At 45.3% G+C, this 25,462-nt stretch overlaps 1 protein-coding gene and 1 long non-coding RNA gene across 4 annotated transcripts in view; one reads left to right on the top strand and one right to left on the bottom strand.

The window, feature by feature from the left end:
- The window catches only part of PTPN9 (protein tyrosine phosphatase non-receptor type 9), a 116,065-nt gene that overhangs the window by 76,316 nt on the left and 14,287 nt on the right, over nt 1-25,462 (top strand). The window contains exons 8-9 of the mRNA NM_002833.4: nt 12,699-12,792; nt 23,086-23,152. Of these exons, the coding sequence (NP_002824.1) occupies nt 12,699-12,792; nt 23,086-23,152 (161 nt within the window). The remainder of the gene's footprint in view (nt 1-12,698; nt 12,793-23,085; nt 23,153-25,462) is intronic.
- The window catches only part of LOC105370902 (uncharacterized), a 32,278-nt gene that overhangs the window by 40 nt on the left and 6,776 nt on the right, over nt 1-25,462 (bottom strand). Inside the window, exon 3 of one of the 3 annotated variants that reach the window (XR_932482.2) lies at nt 3,797-3,938. This is a non-coding gene — a long non-coding RNA (uncharacterized LOC105370902). Of the gene's footprint in view, nt 1-3,610; nt 3,939-22,652; nt 22,971-25,462 lie in introns of those variants that run through there. The other 2 variants (XR_001751804.2, XR_932483.2) reach the window with 2 other exon arrangements.

The following is a 25,462-nucleotide window of genomic DNA, read 5'->3' as shown; positions in this document are numbered from 1 at the left end:
GGAGATGGAGGTTGTAGTGAGCTGAGATCACGCCACTGCACTCCAGCCTGGGCACCATTGGGTGCTTCTTGCTAACATCCTATGCTCTGAAATTTCTGAAGGTCTTTGGTACCAACAGGATAACCCTGTTGGACATATTTTTGGATATTTTTCTGAAATGCAAGTTTTTTTTAAAAAAAGTAGGTTCAAAATAGGCTACTCTCTATTCCAGTACTCAGTGTGAGTGCTGGTCTGTTCATTTGGGCAGTTTCTCCCCATAACATTTATGGTATAACATTACTTCTTGAGGAGGGGTATGTGGTACACTTAAAATAATCCACAGTCAGAGAGTACAGTTGCCTCATAGGACTTTAACCCCTTGAGATTTTCATTCTACTCAAATCCTATCACAAAACCATCTCGCTAGTTTATAACTCTGGCTCGTAACTAGTTGATAACTATATATACATACATACATATATATATACACACCCACACACAAATTAGCTGGGTGTGGTGGCGCACACCTGTAATTCCTTCCTTCCTCCCTCCCTCTCTTTTTTTTTTCTTTCTGAGATGGAGTCTCGTTCTGTCACCCAGGCTGGAGTGCAATGGCACGATCTCGGCTCACTGCAACCTCCGCCTCCCAGGTTCAAGCGATTCTTCCTGCCTCACCCTCCCAAGTAGCTGGAATTATAGGCGCGCACCACCATGCCTGGCTAATTTTTGTATTTTTAGTAGAGACAGGGTTTCACGATGTTGTCCAGGTTGATCTTGAACTCCTGACCTCAGGTGATCTGCCTGCCTCAGCCTCCCGAAGTGCTGGGATTACAGGTATGATCTACCGCACCTGGCCTCTTTTTCTTTTTTCTCTTCTCTTCTTTTCTTCTTCTCTTCTCCTTTTCTTTTCTTTTATCCTTTTCTTTTCCTCAAATTCCTAGGTTAAAGCGATCCTCCTACTTCAGCCTCCTGAGTAGCTGGGACTACAGGTATGTGCCACTATGTCCAGCTCATTTTTTATTTTTTGAAGAGATGGGGTTTTGGCATGTTGCCCAGGCTGGTCTCAAACTCCGAGGCTCAAGTGATCCTCCTGCCTCAACCTCCCAAAGTGTTGGGATTACAGGTGTGAGCCACCGCACCTGGTCAGATTATTTCTCTTACCATGTTGCTGTCATTTCTCTTACCATGTTTTAATTGGCTGCCCCAGAAATCTCTTTCTCTCCAGCTAGTGAGCTGTGACTGTTGAAAACTACAGAAACTAGGGCTGGGGGCAGTGGCTCATGCCTATAATCCCAGCACTTTGGGAGTAAAGGTATAGGAGGATCATTTGTGCCCAGGAGTTTGAGACTAACCTGAGCAGCATAGCAAGACCCTACCTCTACAAAAATAAAAAACGAAAAAATTAGCCAGGCATGGTGGCACACTCCTGTTGTCCCAGCTATGCAGGAGGATCACTTGAGCCCGGGAGGTCAAGACCACAGTGAGTTATGATCACGCCACTGAGCTCCAGCCTAAGTGACAGAGTAAGACTTTGTCTAAGGAAAAAAAAAAAAAAAGAAAGAAAGAAAAGAAGAGGAAAAAAAAAAAAGAAAGAAAATGAGGGAAGCCATCCTAGTGGGTCCCAGCCTCATATTCCAACTTAACCAAAAATTCCCTCTGTGAGTGACACAAGTTATTTCCCTTCTCAGCACTTTGGTTTTCCTCTGTATAATATGTGACTACTGGACTCTGATATTCACCTACCTTTGTAGCTTAAATGTTTTAGAAATCTAGGATTCTGTGAGTACCTCTTCTCTCTTGTAACTCCTGTCCAGTGTAGTCAGTGTGTTCTGAATAAGATGCAGGGATAGAGTCTTTTAGCAAAGCAAAGAGGGAAAATAATGAGTTGGGGAAAATAATGAGATAGGGAAAGTAAGAGATAAGAGGCACTTGAGAAAGAAGTCAATCAGATCAAGAATGCAAAGGAAAATAAGAGGAGAAAAAGGGGACACAGACCATATATCAACAAGGGAAATTATTCTTTTCTCTCATACAGCTCTGTTTCTTCCCTACCAGCTCCAGACCCCTATTTTTATTTAATTTTTATTTCATTTTACTTATTGTATTTATTATTTTATTATTATTATTTTTTTTAGAGACAGGGTCTTGCTCTGTCCCCCAGACTGGCGCATAGTGGCATGATCATGGCTCACTGCAGCCTCCATCTCTTGATGCTCAATTGATCCTCCTGCCTCAGCCTCTTGAGTAGCTGAGACCACAGACATGCACCACCATGCCTGGCTAATTTTTTAAATTTTTTGTAGAGTCTCCCTATGTTGCCCAGGCTGGTCTTGAACCCCTGGGCTCAAGTGATCCTCCTGCCTCAGCCTTCCAAAGTGCTGGAATTATGGGTGCTACCTATACCCAACTACCAGACTCCCTGTTTATATCCAATCTCTTTTGCAAACAGAACAGTTATTCCCTTAAAGTCTTTTTTGTTGTTGTTGAGACAGTCTCACTCCATCACCCAGGCTGGAGTGCAATGGTATGATTTCGGCCCACTGCAACCTCCGCCTTGTGGGTTCAAGCCATTCTGTGCCTTAGTCTCCCAAGTAGATGGAATTACAGGTGTGTGCCACCACACCCAACTAATTTGTGTGTGTATATATATGTGTGTGTGTGTGTGTGTGTGTGTGTATGTATGTTTGTTTATTTATTTATTTATTTATTTTGAGACAGAGTCTCACTCTCGGCCAGGCTAGAGTGCAGTGCCACGATCTCAGCCCACTGCAACCTCCATCTCCCGGCTCAAGCAATTCTCCTGCCTCAGCCTCCTGAGTAGCTGGGATTACAGGCGTGTGCCACCACACCCGGTTAATTTTGTATTTTTAGTAGAGATGGGGTTTCACTGTGTTGGCCAGGCTGGTCTCAAACTCCTGACCTCGGGTGATTCGTCCTCCTTGGCTTCCCAAAGTGCTAGGATTACAGGCGTGAGCCACCATGCCTGGCCTAATTTGTGTATTTTTAGTAGAGATGGGGTTTTGCCATGTTGGCCAGGCTGATCTCGAACTCCTGACCTCAAGTGATCTGCCCACCTCAGCCCTGCAAAGTGCTGGGATTACAGGCATGAGCCACTATGCCCAGCCTCCCTTGCAGTCTTGAATCAAGGAAATATGTTGGAGCAGGGAGGCATGCTAGGCTGATCTAAGAGGATGCACACTTATCCTGGGGATTCTTCACCTTGCTCTCGGTGCTTTTGCAACTACCAGCTGCTGTGAGGCCCTTGAGATGTCATTTCTACTATGGAGTCTCCCCTCCTCCATTAAAAAAGTGGGTTTGGCTGGGCGCGGTGGCTCACGCCTGTAATCGCAGCACTTTGGGAGGTTGAGGCTGGCAGATCACGAGGTCAAGAGATTGAGAACATCCTGGCCAACATGGTGAAACCCCGTCTCTTCTAATAATACAAAAATTAGCTGGGTGTGGTGGCACGCACCTGTAGTCCCAGCTACTTGGGAGGCTGAGGCAGGAGAATCACTTGAGCCCAGGAGGCGGAGGTTGCTGTGAGCCAAGATCATGCCACCGCACTCCAGCCTGGGCGATAGAGCAAGACTCTGTCTCAAAAAAAAAAAAAAAAAAAAAAAAGTGGGTTTAGATCGTCTTGTTGCCATCATCCAAACCAGCTACCATTTGACAATCAGAGAACAGATCTCTCATCTAATGAGAGGACTTCCTAGTCTTGCCTATTGAATGACTGATTCCCCACTTTATGATTTAGAACCTAGAATCCTCATCAGCTCCAAGCCTCTGACTTACACCAACTCCCAGTAGAGCTACTTACAAAGAACAAACTGTGTCTCCCTTGGAATTCTGGATTATGAAGTGGCTATCAGTGTATATTCACTCTTGCCCAGGATTCCCCTGGACCAAGAGACTTTCTTTCCCTTTTCTCTTTTTACTTTTTCTTATAATTGTAGATTCACCTGCAGTTGTAAGAAATAATGGAGACAGATTACATGTACCCTTTCTACAGTTATCCCATGATAACATCTTCCAAAACTATAGTGTAATATCACAGCCAGAATGTTAATATAGATACAATCCACCAATCTGATTTAGACTTCCCCAGTTTTACTTCATTTTTGTGTATTTAGTTCTGTGCAGTTTTGTCACACATGTAGGTTTGTGTATCTGTCACCATAATCAAGATACAGAGTTCTGTCACCACAAGGCTCCCCTCGTTGCCCTTCATTATTTTTATTTTACACTTGATCTTAGCCAAAAGACTGAGAAGCGATCAATATTTTTATTTTTATTTACTTATTTTTTTAAGACAGAGTCTTGCTCTGTCACCCAAGCTGGAGTGCTGTGGTGCAATCTCAGCTCCCTGTAACCTCTGCCTCCCAGGTTCAAGCGATTCTCCTGCCTCAGCCTCCCAAGTAGCTGGGATTACAGGCGTGCACCACCATGCCTGACGAATTTTTGTATTTTTACTACAGTCAGGGTTTCACCATGTTGGCCAGGCTGATCTCAAACTCCTGACCTCAGGTGATCCACTCACCTCGGCCTCCCAAAGTGCTGGGATTACAGGTGTGAGCCACCGTGCCCAGCCTCATTGCCCTATAGTAAACATATACCTCCTTCCCACCACCTCCCCATTCCTAACCCCTGCAACCACTAATCTATTCTCCATTTCTCTAATTTTGTCCTTTCCAAATTGTTGTTATATCAAGTAACATTACATAAAATGTAAAAAAATTACATACATACTGTATGTAATCTTTTAGGATTGGTTTTATTCACTAGGCATATTCGTATAGGAAGGGAGAAATATATATATATATTTCTCTGAGATGTGGTCTCGCTCTGTCGCCCAGGCTGGAGTTCAGTGGCGTGATCTCAGCTCGCTGCAACCTCCGCCTCATGGGTTCAAGTGATCTCCCGCCTCAGTCTCCCAAGTAGCTGGGATTACAGGTGCCTGCTACCACGCCCAGCTAATTTTTTTTTTTGTATTTTTAGTAAAGATGGGGTTTCACCATATTGACTAGGCTGGTCTCCAACTCCTGACCTCAGGTGATCCGCCAGCCTCAGCCTCCCAAAGTGCTGGGATTACAGGCATGAGCCACTGCGCTGGGCTGAAATTTTTTAAGATTTTACAGACAACTATGTTCCTACCACAGAATCAACACTGACTCTTGTTAATATTTTGTTATATTTGCTTCATCTTTTTTTTTTTTTTTTTGAGACAGAGTTTTGCTCTTGTTGCCCAGGCTGGAGTGCAATGGTGTGACTTCAGCTCACTGCAACCTCCGCCTCCTGGGTTCAAGCGATTCTCCTGCCTTAGCCTCCCAAGTAGCTGGGATTACAGGTGCCCGCTACCAAGCCCAGCTAATTTTTTGTATTTTTCATAGAGACGGGGTTTCGCCATGTTGGTCAGAGTGGTCTCGAGCTCCTCACGTCAGGTGATCCACCCACCTTGGCCTCCTAAAGTGCTGGAATTACAGGCATGAGCCCCCACACCTGGCCTTTTTCTTTCTTTTTAAGAGAGACATGTGTTCTTGCTCTGTCGCATAGGTTGGAGTGCAGGTGCAGTGGCACTGTCATAGCTTATGGCAGCCTTAACCTCCTGGGCTCAAGTGATTTTCTTGCCTTAGCCTTCCTAGTAGCTGGGACAAGAAGTATGGGGTGCCACACCTTGCTAATTTTTTTGAAGTTTTTGTAGAGATGGAGTCTTGCTCTGTTGCCCAGGCTGGTCTCAAACTCCTGGGCTCAAGTGATTCTCCCACCTCAGCCTCCCAAAGCACTAGGATTTTAGGCATGAGCCACTGTGCCCAGCTGTCTTTTTAATTATTATATGAGAGAAAGAATTTATTATAAAGTTGAAATTCCTTCTAATCCGCATCCTTAGTTCTCCCCACTCATCATAAGCAGCTACTAGTATGAATATGATATTTCTTTCTAGTTGATTTTGTTTATACTGTTATATATGCATAAGCACTCATGAACAATATAGAGTATTATTTTATATGTGTGACCTTTGTAATTTCTTTGCTTTCAGTTAATATATGCAAATAATTTTTTTCAAAACCAAACAGTTCTAAAGAAGACAAGCAATGACAAAATAAATAGCAAATTCCTATTTTACCCTCAGTTCCATTACCTATAATCATGTATTCAACTCTTGTAGCTGTTTCCCCTGGTATTTCATCCCTAATTCTAAATTAAAATGCTTATAATATGCCAGGCACAGTGGCTCATGCCTGTAATCCCAGCACTTTGGGAGGCTGAGGTGGGTAGATCGTTTGAGCCTAGGATTTCAAGACCAGCCTGAGCAACATGTAGAGACAGGTGGAAACCCTGTCTCTACAAAAATTACAAAAATTAGCTTGGTGTGGTGGCGTGTGTTTGTAATCCCAGCTACTTGGGAGGCTGAGGTGGGAAGCTCACTTGAGCCTGGGACGTTGAGGCTGCAGTGAGCCAAAATTGTGCCACTGGACTCCAGCTTGGAATACAGAGCGAGACCCTGTCTCAAAAAAAAAAAAAAAAGTTAATAATACTTTTAGTGACTTTTATTGTAGGTGCTCATTTAGCTCTTATACTATGTCTCCACTTTCATTTTGACTACTCTTCCAATAATTATATGTAACATTCTTAAATTGAATCGTCATTGTACATTATTATGACTATGTAAATTATTTTTACTGGAGAGCTACATGGGCTACTATGAAATGATCAAATATATTAACAATTTTTTTTTTTTTTTTAATTTTTAGAACAGATGGGATTTCACCATGTTGGCCAGGCTGGTCTCAAAATCCTGGCCTCAAGTGATTCACCTGCCTCGGCCTCCCAAAGTGCTGGGATTACAGGTGTGAACCACTACGTCCAGCCTTTTTTTTTTTTTTTGAGACAGGCTCTCACTCTCTCACCCAGGTTGGAGTACAGTGGCTCTATCTCAGCTCACTGCAACCTCTGCTTCCCAAACTCAAGCAATTCTCTCACCTCAGCCTCCAGAGTAGCTGGGACCACAGGCATGCTTCACCACGTCTGGCTAATTTTTTGTATTTTTGGTAGAGATGGGGTTTCGCCATGTTGCCCAGGCTGGTCCCAAACTCCTGAGCTCAGGCAGTCCACCTGCCTCAGCCTCCCAAAATACTGGGATTACAGGAATGAGCCACTACACCTGGCCTAATGATCTTATCAATTCAATTTTTTGTTTCTTCTGGAGTTAATTACCAGATTTTTTCATTTCCTTTAGTTTTCTGTATATGTTCCTCATTCTTTTTCTTTTGTTTTTTATTGTTGTTGTTGTTGTTTTGTTTTGTTGTTGTGGTTGTTGTTTTGATGTTGCCCAGGCTGGAGTGTAGTGGCGCGATCTCGGCTCACTGCAACCTCCACACCCTGGGTTCAAGCGATTCTCATATCTCAGCCTCCTGAGTAGCTGGGATTATAGGCACCTGCCACCTTGCCCAGCTAATGTTTTTTGTTATTTTTAGTAGAGACATGGTTTCACTATGTTGGCTAGGCTGGTTTCGAACTCCTGACCTCAAGTGATCTGCCCACCTTGGCCTCCCAAAGTGCTGGGATTGTAGGTGTGAGCCACCGTGCTTGGCCCTTCATTATTTTTCTATATGCCCAATCAGATTTATTTTACAGTGTTATCATTAGTTTCCAAGTGATTGAATGTATCAGATAATCAATTGCATCTATTTTTTTTTTCCTGAGACCTCACTTTCAGAACTTTTTCTTTCATTCTAGTCTAAACTGTGGTTGGTTATTCTCTAGGCTTGTTCCTCAGTTTTTATCTTGCAGTTTTCCCTCTTTCCTTTGTTGGATCTTGTTTCCTAATTGTAGACCATCTTCTTTCTTTTATTCTATTTTGCTGGAGTATAGAACTCTAGGTTAGAAATAACTTTATCTCAGAATTTTTAAGGCAATGCCTTTCCAATTACTAGTGATGCTGTCTGTGAATTGTCTGATCTTATTCTTTCTCAATCTATTTATTATTTATTTATTTATTTAAGATGGGGTCTCACTCTGCCACCCAGGCTGGAGTGCAGTGGCACAATCTCAGCTCACCGCAACCTCCACCTTCTGGGTTCAAGTGATTCTCCTGCCTCAGCCTCCTGAGTAGCTGGGACTACAGGCGTGTGCCATCATGCCTGGCTAATTTTTGTATTTGTGGTAGAAACGGAGTTTCACCATGTTGGCCAGGCTGGTCTCAAACTCCTGACTTCAGGAGATCTGCCCTCCTTGGCCTCCCAAAGTGCTGGGATTGCAGGAGTGAGCCATTGCACCCAGTCTAAATTTCTTAAACAGAAAAAGAAATTATCTTTAAAATGCCCAGGGAAGGAAAAAGAAAAACAATAGATCATTTAAAAGGATTGAGAGAGGCTGGGCACAGTGGCTCAAGCCTGTAACCCCAGCACTTTGGGAGGCTGAGGAGGGCAGATCACCTGAGGTGAGGAGTTCAAGACCAGCCTGGCCAACATGGCGAAACCCCGTCTCTGCTAAAAATATAAAAATTAGCCAGGTATGGTGGCAGGCTCCTGTAATCCCAGCTACTCGGGAGGCTGAGGCAGAAGAATCCCTTGAACCTGGGAGGCGGAGGTTGCAGTGAGCCAAGATTGTGCCACTGCACTCCAGTCTGGGGGACAGAGCGAGACTCTGTCCACCCCCTGCAAAAAAAAAGATTCACAATGATGTGCCTTAGTGTAGGTCCTCTTTTAAAATTTATTACATTGGTTACTTGATAGATTCTTTTAATCTGAAGGTTTGTTATTTAGTTCTAGGGCTTTTCTTATTACACTGTGTTTTAAATGATTTCTTTCCTTGTATTATGTTAGTTCTCGCTCGCGCTCTCTCTCTATATGTAAATATATAGATTTTATATATATATATATATATATATATGGGATTGATAAACTTTTTCTTAAAGGGTAAGATAGTAAATATTTCGGTATTGTGAGGTTTACAGTCTTTGTTACAAGTACTCAACGCTGTCAAAATATACTTAGTGAGTACAGAAATAAATGAGCTTGACTATGTTCCAATAAAACATTATTTACAAAAACAAGTAGCCAGGGCATAGTTTACTGACTCAACACTGTCAATATATACTTAGTGAGTACAGAAATAAATGGGCTTGACTGTGTTCCAGTAAAACTTCATTTACAAAAACAAGTGGCCAGGGCATAGTTTGCTGACTTGTGTCCCAGAATGATTCTCTTAACTTTCTTCATCTTTCTCATATTTTCTTTTTCTTTCTTTCTTTTTTTTTTAATGAGACGGAGTCTCGCTCTGTTGCCCAGGCTGGAGTACAGTGGCGCAATTTCAGCTCACTGCAACCTCCATTTCCCGTGTTCAAGCAATTCTCATGCCTCAGCCTCCCGAGTAGCTGGGACTACAAAGCGTGTGCCACCATGCCCTGCTGATTTTTGTATTTTTAGTAGAGACGAGTTTCAACATGTTGGCCAGGCTGGTCTTAAACTTCTGACCTCAAGTAATCCGTCCACCCCAGCCTCCCAAAGTGCTGGGATAACAGGCATGAGCTACTGTGCCTGGCCAGTTTTTCTCATATTTTCATCACTTTTTTTGTTTTGTTTTGTATTCTGGAAATTTCCTCAACTTTCTCTTTTATCTCGTCTATTAAAATTCCTATTTTGGATATTATTTTTAATTTCCAAGAGCTTTTCTTCTCTGTTCCTTTTTCATTGCACTCTCTTCTTGTTTTATGTATAATTGTATCATCTATTTTCTCTTTGAGGATATTAATGATAGCCTTTTAGAGGTTACTTTTCTCTTATTGACTATCTTTTTTTTTAAACTTCTGTAGCCCCCATGTGTTTGAATTATGGGTTTTTTTGTTTGTTTATTTTTTGTTTGATTTTGAGACAGGGTCTCACTTTGTCACCCAGGGTGGAGTGCAGGGATGCAATCATAGCTCACTGCAGCTTCTGTCTCCCAAGCTTAGGTGATCCTCCTACCTCAGCTTCCTGAATAGCCGGGACTACAGGTTTGTACCTCCATGCCCAGCTAATTTTTTTAATTTTTAGTAGAGACAAGGTCTTGCTATGTTGCCCAGGCTGGTCTTGAACTCCTGAGCTCAAGTGATCCTCCCACCTTGGCCCTCCCAAAGAGTTAGGATTACAGGCATGAGCCACCGTGACAAGCCTGAATTGTGTTATTTGAATTGTGTATTAAAGTCTTTGTGTAAGGGCTTTCCTTAATTACATTGAGATCCTTGGCTTTTAGTTCACATTTATGGTCCTTAAAAGCTGCATGGTTACAAAAGCAGACAGTGATGAACAAAAACAAAAACAAGCTGCATGGAAGCTCGTTTTGCATGGATGAGCTTCAGATTATAATGATCAGACAACTAGCTTTTTGTTGGGTATTCTCCAAATGACAGAATTCTTTCACCTGATGCTGTTTACTTTATCCAGTGAAGAGTTCTCCTGTCCTTTGGATCCGCTGAGGGGATCCAAACTTGGATATGAGTGTAGGTCAGGACAATGAGAATGGGTCAGGGATTTTCACTACATAACATTCAGATTTTCATTTTATTCCCATTTTTAGCTCTGTTCCTCACCTTGCTTTCCATGGTAAGGGAGTTCTAAGGGTGTGCCATCTTGTCTCTCTATAGGTACCTCCCTTGGTCCTAGCTTCTGTGTCTGGCCACGTCAGCCAAAATCCTCCTATCTGCTTTTTCTCTGTCAAAATGAGTTGAACACTCTTTGTGTGCTGATGTCTCCACTGTCACTTTTTGGGTTTGTAGTGAATACTCCTTTTTCATCATTTTAGTGAAGCTACTGGATGAATGGAGTGCAGTCAATATGTGTTATCAACCTACCATGTTAAACTGGCATTTAAGGTCAGGCTCGGTGACTCACACCTATAATCCCAGCACTTTGGGAGGCTGAGGCGGGAGGATTGCTTGAGCCCAGGAGTTTGAGACCAGCCTGGGCAATGTGGCAAAACCCTTTCTCTACAAAAAATTTAAAAATTAGCTGGGCGTGGTGGTGTGCATCTGGGACTGAGCCCAGGGAGATTAAGGCTGCAAGTGAGCTGTGATTGTGCCACTGGACTCCAGCCTGGGCGACCCTGGAGACCTTTGAGACCCTGTCCCAAAAAGAAAATGAAATTGGAATTGAAGAGATTTGGTTTGAACATCTTTTGACAAATAAGTAGTAGAAATTTTTATCTGCAGCTGGAGTTTTTTGGTGGTATACCCCATTTCTCTCCCCTTCTCTCCCTCTCTCTCTTTTTACTAATGTGCTCCTCATCTCTGTCTGAGACCTCATCAAAATGGATTTTACCACCCATATTTCTACCAGTTTTCTGATCAGTATCACTTAGGTAATCTCTAAGAAGACTGAGGCTTTCTCTATAGCTCTTCTTTTTCTGAGCCCATAGTAGAATTGCCTTTTATGCCTGTTTATGGCAACATAGGCTTTTTCTGCATGTACTTCCAAATTCTATCAGCTCTGTCCATTACCCAGGTCCAAAGCTGCTTCCACATTTTTAGTTATTTGTTACAGAAGCACCCCACTTCTTAGTACCAATTTCTGCCTTGGCCATTTGGGACTCCCATCCCCACTCCTTCTCTCTGTTTTTAAATTTAATTATTTTTTTTTTTTTTTGAGATAAAGTCTTGCTTTGTCACTCAGGCTGGAGTGCAGTGGTGTGATGTTGGCTCACTGCATCCTCCACCTCCCAGGTTCAAGCGATTCTCCTGGCTCAGCCTCCTGAGTAGCTGGGATTACAGGTGTGTGCCATCACACCTGGCTAATTTTTGTATTTTTAGTAAAGGCAGGGTTTTATCATCTTGGCCAGTCTGGTCTTGAACCCCTGACCCCAGGTGATCCACCCGCCTTGGCCTCCCAAAGTGCTGGGATTACAGGCATGAGCCACCACACCCAGCTTCTCTTTTTTTTAAGTCAGGGTTTCTCTCCGTCACCCAGGCTGGTGTGCAGTGGCGCTGTCATAGCGCACTGCAGCCTTGACTTCCTGGGCTGAAGCCGTCCTCCCACCTTAGACTCCTGAGCAGCTAGGAGTACAGGTGTGTGCCATGATGCCCGGCTAATTTTTTGACTTCTCTCTAGAGATAACCTCTCATTAGGCAGGGCGCAGTGGCTCATGCCTGTAATCCCAACACTTTGGGAGGCCGAGGCGGGCAGATCATGAGGTCAGGAGATCGAGACCATCCTGGCTAACATGGTGAAACCCCGTCTCTACTAAAAATACAAAAAAATTAGCTGGGCGTGGTGGCGGGAGCCTGTAGTCCCAGCTACTCAGGAGGCTGAAGCAGGAGAATGGCGTGAACCCAGGAGGTAGAGCTTGCAGTGAGTCGAGATCACGCTACTGCACTCCAGCCTGGGCAACAGAGCGAGACTCCGTCTCAAAAAAAAAAGAGATAAGCTCTCATTACATTTCCCAGACTGCTCACGAACTCCTGGCCTCAAGCAATCCTCCTGCCTCCCAAAGTGCTGGGACTACAGGTGTGAGCCACCATGCCTGGTCTCCCTCTCTCTTTTGAATGGAGATATGTTTACTTTTAGAAGTAGTATGTACTTACCACAAAAAATGTTAAATGATATGGAACTGTATGGGCTAGAAATTGAAAAGCTTCCATGTCTCCACCCCTAAGAGTAATTGACACCCCTTTAGCATGGTCAGATTTTGTACATACATACTGTCCCCACTTTTTCTTTATTCTTGCTTGTTTGTTTCGTTTCCTTCAGGTCTCCAGGAAACCTAGAGAAAAACCGTTATGGGGATGTACCCTGCCTGGACCAAACTAGAGTGAAGCTAACAAAGCGAAGTGGCCATACTCAGGTAGACAGATAAATGTAATCTTTTTAGGTGCACTGGGGGAAATAGAGCTTCTTCCAAAGTGAAGCTTACTAATACTTCGGTAGAATGAAAGTAGACTCCGAGGCCAGAGAGATTAGGTTTGAGTTTATATTTTGCTACATACTAGTCTGTGACCATAGGCAAGTCCTCAAATGCCCATCTCACAGTATTGAGTGGAAATTAAATGAAATTCTTTATGTGAATGCTGATAGTGCAAGGTCTGTTGTATTGTAGGTGCTTCATAGATGTTAAATTATTTATCATTTTACTCCTTAGTTGTAAAGTCATGGTCATATAGTGCAATTCCTTTGGTGAGTATATATGCATCAATACAAAGCAACTTTGATTATAAGTGACCTCTGATTTCTCCATCTGTATCTGAGGAAATTGTGGACAACTTATGTATACATAAATGTCTAGGGATAGAGATGAAATGGTCAAATGACTATATTATTTAATATATTAATTTGATTATATCTACATGTTAAAAGCCTCATATGTAATCTATTAACAGAGATATTTAATGAACATTTTATTCAAACACTTTACATACACCTTTAACTTTAGTGTCTTTGTCACATTTGAGCCACTTTTTTTTTTCTCCCTCAAGACAAGGTCTTGCTTTATTGCCCAGGCTAGGTACAGTGATCACAGCTCACTGCAACCTTGACCTCCTGGGCTCAAGTGATTCTTGTACCTCAGCCTCCCAAGTAGCTGAGACCACAGGTGTGTGCCACATACATGGCTAATTTTTAAATACTTTTGTAGAGACAAGTTCTCACTATGTTGCCTAGTCTGGTCTTGAACTCTTGTGCTCAAACAATCCTCTTGCCTCAGCCTCCCTAAGTGCTGGAATTACAGGCCAATTTTTGAGTCAGTCTAACAAGGTTTTCCAGAGTACAACATCTTTATTTACTTTTAAGTGTGTGGCATTGTGACTGGAAATTTTATCCTAAACCAGGAAAATCTGTTAGGGTAACATTAGGACAAATTTTTTTTTTTTTTTTTTTTTTTTGAGACGGAGTCTTGCTCTGTCCCCCAGGCTGGAGTGCAGTGGCGCAATATTGGCTCACCGCAAGCTCCACCTCCCAGGTTCACGCCATTCTCCTGCCTCAGCCTCCCGAGTAGCTGGGACTACAGGTGCCCACCACCACGCCCGGCTAATATTTTGTGTTTTTAGTAGAGACGGGGTTTCACCATGTTAGCCAGGATGGTCTCGATCTCCTGACCTCGTGATCCGCCCGTCTCGGCCTCCCAAAGTGCTGGGATTACAGGCATGAGCCACTAGGCCCGGCCAGGACAAGTTGGTTTTTTAATTCATCCTGCATCTTATGCATCCCCTATAATATGATTCATTCACTTATTCCTTTGTAAAATCCTTAAAAAACAGAAAATTGAGACAGGGTCTCACTCTGTCACCCAGGCTTGAGTGCAGTGACTTGATCGTAGCTCACTGCACCCTTGAACTCCTGGGCTCAAGCGATCCTCCCACCTCTGCCTCCCAAGTAGCTGAGACTACAGGCACACGCCATTACACATGGCTGATTTTTTTTAATTTTATTTTTGTAGACCTAGGGTCTCGCTGTGTTGCCTAAGTTCTTCCTGGGCTCAAGCAATCCTCTCACCTTGGCCTCCCAAAGTGCTGGGATTACAGGCATGAGCCGGTGTGCCTGGCCATAATTCCTTTTTAATATAACTTGTTTACAGCAACATCCAACCTTAGAATTTTGAGATGAATGACTAAATTATTATTATCTTCCTTTTTTTCCCTTCTGATATACCAATTTTATTAGGTGATATCTCCGAAAAACCCAATTTTGTTAGGTGATCTCATAAAAAAAAAAAACCCAGCATTGACTGAGGTTGTTCAAAGTAAAGTTATTTTATTTTTATTTATTTATTTATTTTGAGACAGAGTTTCGCTCTTGTTGTCCAGGCTGGAGTGCAATGGCGCAATCTCAGCTCACTGCAACCTCCACCTCCTGGGTTCAAGCAATTATCCTTTCTCAGCCTCCCGAGTAGCTGGGATTACAGGTGCATGCCACCATGCCCGGCTAATTTTTGTATTTTTAGTAGATACGGGGTTTCATCATTTTGGTCAGGCTGGTCTTGAACTCCTGACCTGGGGTGATCCGCCTGCCTCAGCCTCCCAAAGTGCTGGGATTACAGGCATGAGCCACTGCGCCGGCAAAGTAAAGTAATTTAAATAGTGCCTCTTTAACATGACACACAGTAAAGTAATTTAAATAGTACCTCTTTAACATGACACACATTATAAGGACTTGTTATATCCCTTCTCTTTCTGGGGAATAATTTTTGGAAAACTTACTGCCTTGTATTTGGGCATATATGACATGTGGGTTGGGACCCCAGGATCATGGTTTCCAACTCTCTTGTCCCTGTTGTTTCAAGCACATAAACTGAATTCACAGTCCTATCCAGGACCCTTGGAGAAGATTTTCCTGCAGGAGCATTTGAGCTAAGAGACTGGCTGGCTGGAGGGTAAATTCATCAGTACTGCTGAGATCATCATCGTATATGCCCTGAAGGAGTGGAGTACAGTGGTTGAGTTGGGGCTCTGGAGTCAGAGATACCTGTATTTATCCATTTTGTTGACTTCCCTGTCTCCAGTACCTAGAACAGTGCCTGCCACATATCAGACACTCAGGACATATTTGTGAATGAGTGAATCTTAGTGTACTGGGAGATTCTTCTAATCATCCTGTGGTTAATATGAAGATCATTGTCTGATTTGTAGTCCCTCTCCTTACTGAAACATTAGCGGAGGCTTTATTTTTATAGTAAATGGAGTATTTAGGCTTTTTTTTTATTTTATTTTGATTTTAGTTTTTAGTTTTTTTGACATTATTTACTTTGCGGGCCGAAAGCAAAAAAAAAAAAATTATTTACTTAGCTTTGGGGACTTAACACTCTCATGGAATTTCCACCTATGGGGCTATTTTTCCATTCTGTTTTCTGACATTTAGTTGTTTTTAAATTTTAATTGATAGAAATTGTATATATTTATGGTATACAATATAATATTTTAAAATATGTATGGATTGCAGAGACACTAAGTCAAGCTAGTTAATATATGCATTACTTTGCCGGGCACGGTGGCTCACACCTGTAATCCCAGCACTTTGGGAGGCCGAGGCGGGCAGATCACAAGGTCAGGAGATCGAGACCATCCTGGCTAACACGGTGAAACCCCGTCTCTACTAAAAAATACAAAAAATTAGCCAGGTGTGGTGGTGGGCGCCTGTAGTCCCAGCTACTCGGGAGGCCGAGGCAGGAGAATGGCATGAACCTGGGAGGCGGAGCTTGCAGTAAGCCGAGATCGCACCAGTGCACTCCAGCCTGGGCAACAGAGCAAAGACTCCGTCTCAAAAAAAAAAAAAAAAAAAACACCACATATGCATTACTTCACATATTTACCTTGTTTTGTGGTGAAAACACTTAAAATATGCTGTCCGCAATTTTCAAGTATACAATACCTTGTTATTTGGAGGATTCAGGTTTTTTAGTGAATTGTTTACTTGATTTGCTTCTGGAATTTTAAAGCTATTAGTCCCAGTTTCTGTTGAACATGGCTGCCTTAATCTGTTTGGGCTGCTGTAACAAAAATACCACATGCAGGATGGCTTATAAACAACAGAAATTTATTTCTCACTATTGTGGAGTCTGGGAAGTCCAAGATCAACGTGCTGGCAGATTTGGGGTCTGGTGAGGGCCCCTTTCTTGGTTCATAGACCACTGTCTACTCATTGCATCCTCACATGGCAGAAGGGGAAGGGGTGAGGGAGCACTTCAGAACTCTTCTGTCTTATAAGGGCACTAATCCCATTTGTGAGAGCTCTGTCCTCATGGTCCTAATCACCTGTCTAAAGGCCCCATCTCCTAATACCATTACATTGAGGGTCTGGGGTTGGGATTACACATTTGAAGTTATGGGGGACACAAATGATCAGTCTATAGCAATGGCTCACAACATAGTGTTCCGGGTTTGTTCTTCCTGCTATTCCAATTTTCCCCCAAGTGTATACTTTATCTCTGGGTCATTTTCAGTTTTGTTTTTTTTTTTTTTTTTGAGTTGGAGTCTCGCTTTGTCGCCCAGGCTGGAGTGCAGTGGTGCGATCTCGGCTCACTGCAACCTCCACCTCCCGGGTTCGTGCCATTCTCCTGCCTCAGCCTCCCAGGTAGCTGGGACTACAGGCGCCCGCCACCACACCCAGCTAATTTTTTGTATTTTTAGTAGAGATGGGGTTTCACCTTGTTAGCCAGGATGGTCTTGATCTCCTGACCTCGTGATCTGCCCGCCTTGGCCTCCCAAAGTGCTGGGATTACAGGCGTGAGCCACTGCGCCCGGCCTTCAGTTTTAATATCCAGTGATTCTTCCGAAGTTGCTGAAATTAAAAATTTAATTCCCTGGGAATTAAAAATCAGCTCAGAGACCAGTGCTAAAGCTGGTAATTCTTAGTTATAAAGAAATAATGTCTTCTTTAAAGAAGTGACAATTCGGCCGGGCGCGGTGGCTCACGCCTGTAATCCCAGCACTTTGGGAGGCCGAGGCGGGTGGATCATGAGGTCAGGAGATCAAGACCATCCTGGCTAACAAGGTGAAACCCCGTCTCTACTAAAAAAATACAAAAAATTAGCCGGGCGCGGTGGCGGGCGCCTGTAGTCCCAGCTACTCGGGAGGCTGAGGCAGGAGAATGGCGTGAACCCGGGAAGCGGAGCTTGCAGTGAGCCGAGATTGCGCCACTGCAGTCCGCAGTCCGGCCTGGGCAACAGAGCGAGACTCCGTCTCAAAAAAAAAAAAAAAAAAAAAAAAAGAAGTGACAATTCTTTTCAAAGCATGAAGTTAGTTCCTCCTTATGTTCTTACTAATGCTGACTGGCATATACTAGGTAAATCTTTTGTGCTTTTCCATACCTTCTCCCCTTGGTCCTCGAGTGGGTATACCATTTGCATGTGCCAGGTTGAGTAGAGGATGGGCTTTGGCTGACTGGGTGCACCCTGGATTGAGAAGCCTGTTTGGAAGTGAGTGAGGCTTTTAGCATGCTGGGTCTGCTGCAGGTGGTCTATTAGCTCAGTGAAGTTGTCTGAGTCAGGGTAGGACAGTAATCGTATGAGGTCAATACTAGCTGCTATGGGAGGGAAAACTCCGAGTTTATCACTCCACTATTTATTTAGTCAAAGAAACAGTTTCTAAGGAGGAAACTCTTGACTAAATAAATAGTAGAGTGATAAATTGGTAGACTGACTGGCTAATGAACACAAATCCAAGTAACATGGGTTTGACCATGAGGTGGAGATATCTTAGGAGGTTAGCTATGGGATACTGACAGTTCAGACTGCCCACCCAGTGATAGGACCCACAGGAGAACGAGTGATAGGTTGAGGAAAGAGTCAGTCTGACCTCTCTGTAATGCAGTGGGTTATGAGTTTTCCCTAGTTTGCTATTGAAACTTTTCTTTTGTCCTTCTGTAACCCTTCACACCTTCCCTTATCCATTCCACTGCTTCTATCCATTCAACTCCCAACTAGTTATACTATAACATAAAACTGCAGCTGATTGATGTTTCTCTTTTATCAGCCTGGATCAAAGGATCTTTTGAGTAGGTATTTATAAAAAATGATGTTGAAGTAATTAAGACTGAGGACATTAGGAGGTGGGAGAATACCCTGGAAGAGAGGTAGTCAGGAGCTGTTCATTGAGATGCCTTTGAATTTGACTGGAAGTTGCTTTGCATTAATTCAGGTAATAATGGAGTCCAGGTGTTTGGCTCGTCTGTTGATGGTCCTAAGTATGAGATGTAGCTTTATTTCTTCTCCATTCATATTTTGCCTTTTGTGTGTGGCAGGATGGACCAGGTGTTCCTACTTGCTTGCCTTGCCTCTCATTTGGTCCTGTGCTACAGTGTTGCAAGTCTTGATGGACCCTTTTCTTGTAAATAACAGTTTCTATTGAGTTATATAGTTCACTCTGGCAGACTGCCACAATTACTGCTTGAGATGTCACTAGGGCAGTTACTATTGTTATTACTTGAGACCGTCATTAGGAGACTGAATGAAGGGGGATAAACATAGCAATGAAAACTTAAGACAAAAATAACTATTCTAAAGGAAGGGTAACATGGGGAAGAAGAGAACTCCCTGCTTCTAGTGAGCAAAGGCAGCCCTGAGCTTCTACAGCCCTTTGTATTTATTGGGTACCAAGAGCAGGGAGGAGGAGGTAACGATTGGTCAGCTGCTTAATTGATCACAGGTACACATTATTGCTAACAGGCTTCAGATGTGCCTAACTACAAGAAACACTTGTGCCTGGGTCGTGACTGCCCTCAGCATTCCTTCTGGGCGGCAGATGCAGTTTGTCAGTTTGCCAACATCCTGCTTTCATGAGAACAGTTTCCTTTTTGCTCATGTAGCCTCCAGTGGTATACTGAGTTGATCATGACCCTCATTCTTTCGGCCTCCAACAGTTCACATACCATACAATTTACCTATTTAAAGTATATAAGTCAATGGCTATTAGTATATTCACAGAGTTGTGCCACCATCACCACAAACAACTTTAGAACATTTTTTTCATTTCCCAAAGAAACCTCACACCCTTGGCAGTCGCTACCTATTTCCCTCTAACCCACTCTGATTTATTTCCTATCTCCATAGATTTGCCTGTTCTAGGGATCTCATACAAAGAGAATCCTAGACTATGTAGCTTTTTGTGTCTGGCTTCTATCATTTAGCATAATGTTTTCTAGGTCCATCCATGTCATAGCATGTATCATCACATCACTGCTTTTTACTGCCAAATAATATTCCATTGTATGGATATACCACTTTTATTCATTTATCAGTTGAAGGACATTTGAGTTGTTTCCATTTTTGGCTATTACGAATAATGCTGCTATGGATATTTATGTATAAGTTTTTGTATGCACCTATGTTATTTTGCTAAGGAGTGGAATTGCTGGGTCATATGGTAACTGTTTAATCTTTTCAGGAACAACCAGACTGTTTTCTAAAGTAACTGCAGCATTTTACATTACCACTAGCCATGTATAAGGAGGGTTTACACATGTATGAGGGTTTCAGTTTTTCCACATCCTTGCCAACAGTATTATCTATCTTTGATATCTGTAGCCATCCTAGTGGGTATAAATTAGTATCTCGTGGTATGGATTTGCATTTCCATGATGGCTGATGATGAATGAATTTTTTTTTTTTTTGAGACAGAGTCTCGCTCTGTCGCTCAGGCTGGAGTGCAGTGGCACGATCTCAGCTCACAGCAAGCTCCATCTCCCGGGTTTATGCCATTCTCCTGCCTCAGCCTCCCGTGTAGCTGGGACTACAGGCGCCTGCCACCACGCCCAGCTATTTTTTTGTATTTTTTTTTAATTTATTTTTTTATTGATAATTCTTGGGTGTTTCTCACAGAGGGGGATTTGGCAGGGTCATGGGACAATAGTGGAGGGAAGGTCAGCAGATAAACAAGTGAACAAAGGTCTCTGGTTTTCCTAGGCAGAGGACCCTGCGGCCTTCCGCAGTGTTTGTGTCCCTGATTACTTGAGATTAGGGATTGGTGATGACTCTTTTTTTTTTTTTTTTTTTTTTTTTTTGAGACGGAGTCTCGCTCTGTCGCCCAGGCTGGAGTGCAGTGGCACGATCTCGGCTCACTGCAAGCTCCGCCTCCCGGGTTCACGCCATTCTCCTGCCTCAGCCTCCCGAGTAGCTGGGACTACAGGCGCCCGCCACCACGCCCGGCTAATCTTTTGTATTTTTAGTAGAGACGGGGTTTCACCGTGTTAGCCAGGATGGTCTCGATCTCCTGACCTCGTCATCCGCCCGCCTCGGCCTCCCAAAGTGCTGGGATTACAGGCGTGAGCCACCGCGCCCGGCCTGGTGATGACTCTTAAGGAGCATGCTGCCTTCAAGCATCTGTTTAACAAAGCACATCTTGCACCGCCCTTAATCCATTTAACCCTGAGTGGACACAGCACATGTTTCAGAGAGCACAGGGTTGGGGGTAAGGTCACAGATCAACAGGATCCCAAGGCAGAGGAATTTTTCTTAGTGCAGAACAAAATGAAAAGTCTCCCATGTCTACTTCTTTCTACACAGACACGGCAACCATCCGATTTCTCAATCTTTTCCCCACCTTTCCCCCCTTTCTATTCCACAAAGCCGCCATTGTCATCCTGGCCCGTTCTCAATGAGCTGTTGGGCACACCTCCCAGACGGGGTGGTGGCCGGGCAGAGGGGCTCCTCACTTCCCAGTAGGGGCGGCCGGGCAGAGGCGCCCCCTCACCTCCCGGAGGGGCGGCTGGCCAGGCAGGGGCGCTGACCCCCCCCCACCTCCCTCCCGGACGGGGCGGCTGGCCGGGCAGAGGGGCTCCTCACTTCCCAGTAGGGGCGGCCGGGCAGAGGCACCCCTCACCTCCCGGACAGGGCGGCTGGCTGGGCGGGGGGGCTGACCCCCCCCACCTCCCTCCCGGACGGGGCGGCTGGCCGGGCGGGGGGCGACCCCCCACCTCCCTCCCGGACGGGCGGCTGGCGGGCGGGGGCTGACCTCCCCACCTCCCTCCGGACGGGGTGGCTGGCCGGGCTGAGGGCTCCTCACTTCCAGTAGGGGCGGCCGGGCAGAGGCGCCCCTCACCTCCGGACGGGGCGGCTGGCCGGGTGGGGGGCTGACCCCCCCACCTCCTCCCGGACGGCACGGCTGGCCAGGCGGGGGGCTGACCCCCCCACCTCCCTCCCGGATGGCACGGCTGGCCGGGCGGGGGGGCTGACCCCCCACCTCCTCCGGATGGGGCGGCTGGCCGGGCCGGGGGCTGACCCCCCCCCACCTCCCTCCCGGACGGGGTGGCTGCCCGGCGGAGACGCTCCTCACTTCCCAGATGGGGTGGCTGCCGGGCGGAGAGGCTCCTCACTTCTCAGACGGGGTGGTTGCCAGGCAGAGGGTCTCCTCACTTCTCAGACGGGGCGGCCGGGCAGAGACGCTCCTCACCTCCCAGAGGGGGTCTCGGCCGGGCAGAGGCGCTCCTCACATCCCAGATGGGGCGGCGGGGCAGAGGCGCTCCCCACATCTCAGACGATGGGCGGCCGGGCAGAGACGCTCCTCACTTCCTAGATGTGATGGCGGCTGGGAAGAGGCGCTCCTCACTTCCTAGATGGGATGGCGGCCGGGCGGAGACGCTCCTCACTTTCCAGACTGGGCAGCCAGGCAGAGGGGCTCCTCACATCCCAGACGATGGGCGGCCAGGCAGAGACACTCCTCACTTCCCAGACGGGGTGGCAGCCGGGCAGAGGCTGCAATCTCGGCACTTTGGGAGGCCAAGGCAGGCGGCTGCTCCTTGCCCTCGGGCCCCGCGGGGCCCGTCCGCTCCTCCAGCCGCTGCCTCGCGGGCGGCGCTCGCCGGCGCGGCGGCAAAGACTGAGACAGCTCCGCTGCCCGCTGAACTCCATCCTCCCGGCTGTGGGGCGGCGGTGGCTGCGGTCGGTCGCGGCAGCGGCTCCGCTTCATATCTGCAGCTGGGGCCCGCGGGCGTCAGCGCCGCGACTGTCCCGGCTCCGCACTGCCCCAGGCCGCAGCGCAGCCGCGCCAACCACCACCCGCGGCCACCATGGCCGGACGGGCTCCCTAAGCCACCGACCCCAGCCCGCGGCGCCTTCGAGCCTTCTGGGGCCTCCGGCGCCGCGACCTCCTCTGCGCTCCTCACGGAAGAGACCTTTTTTGTATTTTTAGTAGAGACAGGGTTTCGCCGTGTTAGCCAGGATGGTCTCGATCTCCTGACCTCGTGATCCACCCTCCTCGGCCTCCCAAAGTGCTGGGATTACAGGCGTGAGCCACCGCGCCTGGCATAAGTTTTTAATTTTAATATAGTCCAATTTATCTCTTTTCTTTTGTCACTTACGCCTTTGGTATCATATCTGTGAAAGCTTTGCCTAACCCAAGGTCACAAAGATTTACTCTTATATTTTATTCTGAGAGTTTTAATAGTTTTAATCCCTTACATTTGGTCTGTGATACATTTTGAGTCAGTTTTACAGTGTGAGGAAGGAGTCAGCTTGATTTTTATGCATGTAGATATCTACTTGTCCCAGCACCATTTATTGAAGTGAGGGTTTGAGCTGGCCATTTCACTCCTCATTTTCTGCTCAACAAGAAGAGAATATTCACACCTTGGGTTTTACTTACTGAGTACATCATTTTATGACCCAAATGGTGTATTCTGTGTAGCTATAGTGATGTCTCCTTTTTATCATTAGACAGATTACATCAATGCCAGTTTCATGGATGGCTACAAGCAGAAGAATGCTTACATTGGCACACAAGGTAAGCTGGTCCGTCCCTCCCATGTTGATTTTGTGCCATCTACTTATGATTCCTTGTGCCAAATGATAGCATAATTTTTAAACGAATGGTAACTTGAGTGGAGGTTTTGGCCACTAGATCCTGGCCTTTTATAAAGATGGGTGGTGGTTGAGAAAAGCAAATAAGTAGTTTGGGGTTTCTGTACCAGGTGTGCCTGGAAACTCACCGCATAGAGATAAACTGGAGATTTAAACACATAACACTACTGCCTGCAAGTTTTGGGGCTATTTCTTAGTATTGGCAAGGGTGTAGGGCATCAGAATGCATCAGCCAGTGAGCTCTTCATGCTCTTCCTGTCTAGTGAGAGGCCAAGAATAGCAGTGGACTTCCCAGAGATTGAGTCCAATCTAGGAATGAGTATTGCTGTCCTAATAGGCCTAGGCTGGTTCCTATACCATCACAGAGCACTCCAGCAAATGTTCTGACATAGATAGTATGTGCTAATAAGTCTGACAGTGGAATACTGAGCTCTAGGAGGATTTCTCATTTTTTTTTCTCCTTTGAAATGGAGGCTTGCTGTGTCGCCCAGGCTATTGTGCAGTGGTACGACCTCCACTCACTGCAACCTCCACCTCCCGGGTTCAAGTGATTCTCCTGCCTCAGCCTCCTGAGTATCTGGGACTACAGGTGTGTGCCACCACGCCCGGCTAATTTTTGTATTTTTAGTAGAGACTGGGTTTCACCATGTTGGACAGGCTGGTCTCGAACTCCTGACCTCGTGATCTGCCCGCTTCGGCCTCCCAAAGTGTTGGGATTACAGGCGTGAGCCACCATGCCCAGCCTCTAGGAGGATTTCAGGTGGAGTTTCTATAAATGTTCCTATGATCCTAGTACTCTTCCTGACCTGGCCTCTCCATCTCAAGAATATCATGTCACTTTCAAAGATGGTAGGAGGAAATCATAATACAGAAAGACAACAGACCATCAGATGGGCGTAAGGCCCTTTGACCACTGCAGAGCAAGATACGGTGGATACCTCCTTAATCAAGTGATCAAACTTAGTATCACCAGTAAAGGACAAAGGGACATTATGTACACCTCCTGATATGATGCATTGAGAAATGAATATCACCTGCATTGTGTATTGCCAGTTTTAAAATCTGAATCTAGTCATGGGAAACAATCCAGATTGTGGGACATACTATAAGAAAACTGGCTCAGACTCTCCAAAGTTAATGCCATAAAAAACAAAAAGGCAGAGAACTGTTCTAGATTAAAGGGAGACTAAAGAGAACCATGGCCAGGCACAGTGGCTCACGCCTGTAACTCCAGTACTTTGGGAGGCTGAGGGGGGAGTATCACTTGAGCCCAGGAAGCAGAGGTTGCTCTGAGCCGAGATCGTGCCACTGCACTCCAGCCTGGCTGACACAGCAAGATCCTGTCTCAAAAATAAATAAATTAAAGGGCCAGTCACAATGGCTCACACCTGTAATCCCAGCACTTTGGGAGGCCGAGGCAGGTGGATAAACTGAGGTTGGAAGTTCGAGACCAGCCTGACCAACATGGAGAAACCACGTTTCTACTAAACATACAAAATTAGCCGGGCGTGGTGGCACATGCCTGTAATCCCAGCTACTTGGGAGGCTGAGGCAGGAGAATCGCTTGAACCCAGGAGGCGGAGGTTGCAGCGAGCAGAGATTGCGCTCAAAAAGAAAAAAAAAAAGAGGATCGGCCAGGCGTGGTGGTTCATGCCTGTAATCCCAGCACTTTGGGAGGCCGAGGCAGGCGGATCACAAGGTCAGGAGTTCCAAACCAGCCTGGCCAATATGGTGAAACACCGTCTCTACTAAAAATACAAAAATTAGCTAGGTGTGGTGGTGGGTGCCTGTAGTCCCAACTATTCGGGAGGCTGAGGCAGGAGAATTGCTTGAACCTGGGAGGCAGAGGTTGCAGTGGACTGCGACTGCGCCATTGCACTCCAGCCTGGGCGACAGAGGAAGGCTCTGTCTCAAAAAAAAAAAAAAAAAAAAAAAAAGAGTATCTGATTAGATCCTCAACTGGGAGAAAAAAATCTATTGAAGACAAACTATTGAGACAATTGGAGATTTTTTTTAGCCAACATTGTATCCATGTTTAATGTATGCTTAAGGTGATAATGGTAATGTTCTATAGGAGGAGGTCCTTGTTTTCCTAGTAAGTGCTCAAGTATTTAGGAATAAAATATCATAATGTCTGCAACTTCTTTATTTTTAATTAATTAATTAATTAAGTTTTGAGATGGAGTTTCGCTCTGTCGCCCAGGCTGGAGTGCAGTGACATGATCTTGGCTCA

Source organism: Homo sapiens, chromosome 15 (genome assembly GCF_000001405.40).
Source record: "Homo sapiens chromosome 15, GRCh38.p14 Primary Assembly".
Classification (NCBI taxonomy): domain Eukaryota; kingdom Metazoa; phylum Chordata; class Mammalia; order Primates; family Hominidae; genus Homo; species Homo sapiens.
Note: the sequence above shows the minus strand (reverse complement) of the source record. Positions and strands in the feature narration are given on the sequence as shown.